Source organism: Homo sapiens, chromosome 19 (assembly GCF_000001405.40).
Source record: "Homo sapiens chromosome 19, GRCh38.p14 Primary Assembly".
Taxonomy (NCBI): Eukaryota; Metazoa; Chordata; class Mammalia; order Primates; family Hominidae; genus Homo; species Homo sapiens.
In genome coordinates this window covers 5,190,700-5,192,505 of record NC_000019.10, presented here as the reverse complement: position 1 = coordinate 5,192,505, position 1,806 = coordinate 5,190,700, and the positions used below count along the sequence as shown (strand labels likewise).

General features: G+C 51.6%; 1 annotated feature.

The window, feature by feature from the left end:
• Positions 377-1,039: an enhancer, noted in NCBI's record as "H3K27ac-H3K4me1 hESC enhancer chr19:5191478-5192140 (GRCh37/hg19 assembly coordinates)". NCBI's record gives its function as "activates a minimal SCP1, AML or CMV promoter by ChIP-STARR-seq in naive H9 embryonic stem cells {active_cell/tissue: H9 hESC(naive)}" and the evidence as "EXISTENCE:reporter gene assay evidence [ECO:0000049][PMID:30033119]".

The following is a 1,806-nucleotide window of genomic DNA, read 5'->3' as shown; positions in this document are numbered from 1 at the left end:
GTTGGAGTGCAGTGGCACGATCTCGGCTCACTATCAGCTCTGCCTCCTGGGTTTAAGCGATTCTCCCACCTCAGCCTCCTGAGTAGCCGGGATTACAGACGAGTGCCAACATGCCCGGCTAATTTTCGTATTTTTAGTAGAAAAGGGGTTTCGCCATGTTGGCCAGGCTGGTCTCGAACTCCTGACCTCAGGTGATCCGCCCGCCTCGGCCTCCCAAAGTGCTGGAATTACAGGCATGAGCCACTGCGCCCAGCCTCCTTTAAATTCTTAATAAACTTGCTTTCACTTTATGGAATTGCCCTGACTTCTTTCCTGTGTGAGATCCAAGAACCCTCTCTCTCAGGGTCTGGATCGGAACCCCATTCCTGAAACACTCCCACTGTGGGAGCCCTCAAATAGGACCCTGGGCAGGAGGATGACAGAGAGCTACGGGGAATTGCAAATTGCATCCTGTCCCCGGGCCTCCCTGGCACCATCACTCCAGTTTGAGCCGCCCGCAAGCGCGATCCCTTTCGGTGAACCAGCTATTGCACGACCCCACACTTCCCACCCACTGTGAGAGCTAGAATCCAAGCGAAAAGCAAACACAGACAGAAAAACGTGCACTCACAAGCGCTGGTAAGGGTGTGCAGATACGGGAGTCCTTGTCCACAGCCGGCGGGAGGTAAAATGATGCGGCTACACTGTGGTAGAATGTGGAATCTCGCTCTGTCACCCAGGCTGGAGTGCAGTGGCGTGATCTCAGCTCACTGCAACCTCCGCCTCCCGGGTTCAAGCAATTCTCCTGCCTCAGCCTCCCAAGTAGCTGGGATTACAGGCACCTGCCACCATGCCTGGCTAATTTTTTTTTTTGTATTTAGTAGAGATGAGGTTTCACCATGTTGGCCAGGCTGGTCTCAAACTCCTGACCTCAAGTGATCCACCTGCCTCGGCCTCCCAAAGTGCTGGGATTACAGAAGTGAGTCACCACGCCTGGCCATGTTGGCACCAAAATTTCTACTTGAATGTTTATAGCAGTGTGATTTTTAACAGCCACGATGTGAAACCAATCCGAACATCCAACACAAGAATAGGTAAAGAAAACAGGGTCTATCTGTAAAATGGAATATTATTCAGCCATGAAAAGGAATGAGGCTCTGACACAGGAAACAGCACAGATGCACCTTGAGGACCTCAGACTCAGTGAGTGGCGCCAGACACAAAAGGCCACACAGTGTATGATCTCACTTCCATGAAATGTCCGGGACAGGCCAATCCACAGAGACAGGAAGGGGATTTGTGGCTGACCACAGGGTTGGGGAGGGGAGGGAGAGTGACTGTTGATAGGGATGGGCTTTTTTTTTTTTGAGACGGAGTCTCAGCCTGTCACCCAGACTGGAGTGCAATAGTGCAATCTTGGCTCACTGCAACCTCCACCTCCTGAGTTCAAGCCATTCTCCTGCCTCAGCCTCCCGAGTAGCTGGGATTACAGGCACCCTCCACCACGCCCAGCTAATTTTTTGTATCTTTAGTAGAGATGGGCTTTTACTATGTGGGCCAGGCTGGTCTGGAACTCCTTACCTCAGGTGATCCACCCGCCTCAGCCTCCCAAAGTGCTGGGATTACAGGTGTGAGCCACCGCGCCCAGCCAGGGCTTCTTTTTGGGGTGCTGGAACGTTGTGGAATTACATAGTGTGATGGTTGCACGCTTTGTGCTAAAACAACACTGAATTGTCCACTTTAAAGCGGTGATTTTTATGCTATGTAAATGATCTCAATTTAAAACAGACTTTTAAACCTCCCAGGACCTCCCAAGGCCAACTCCTC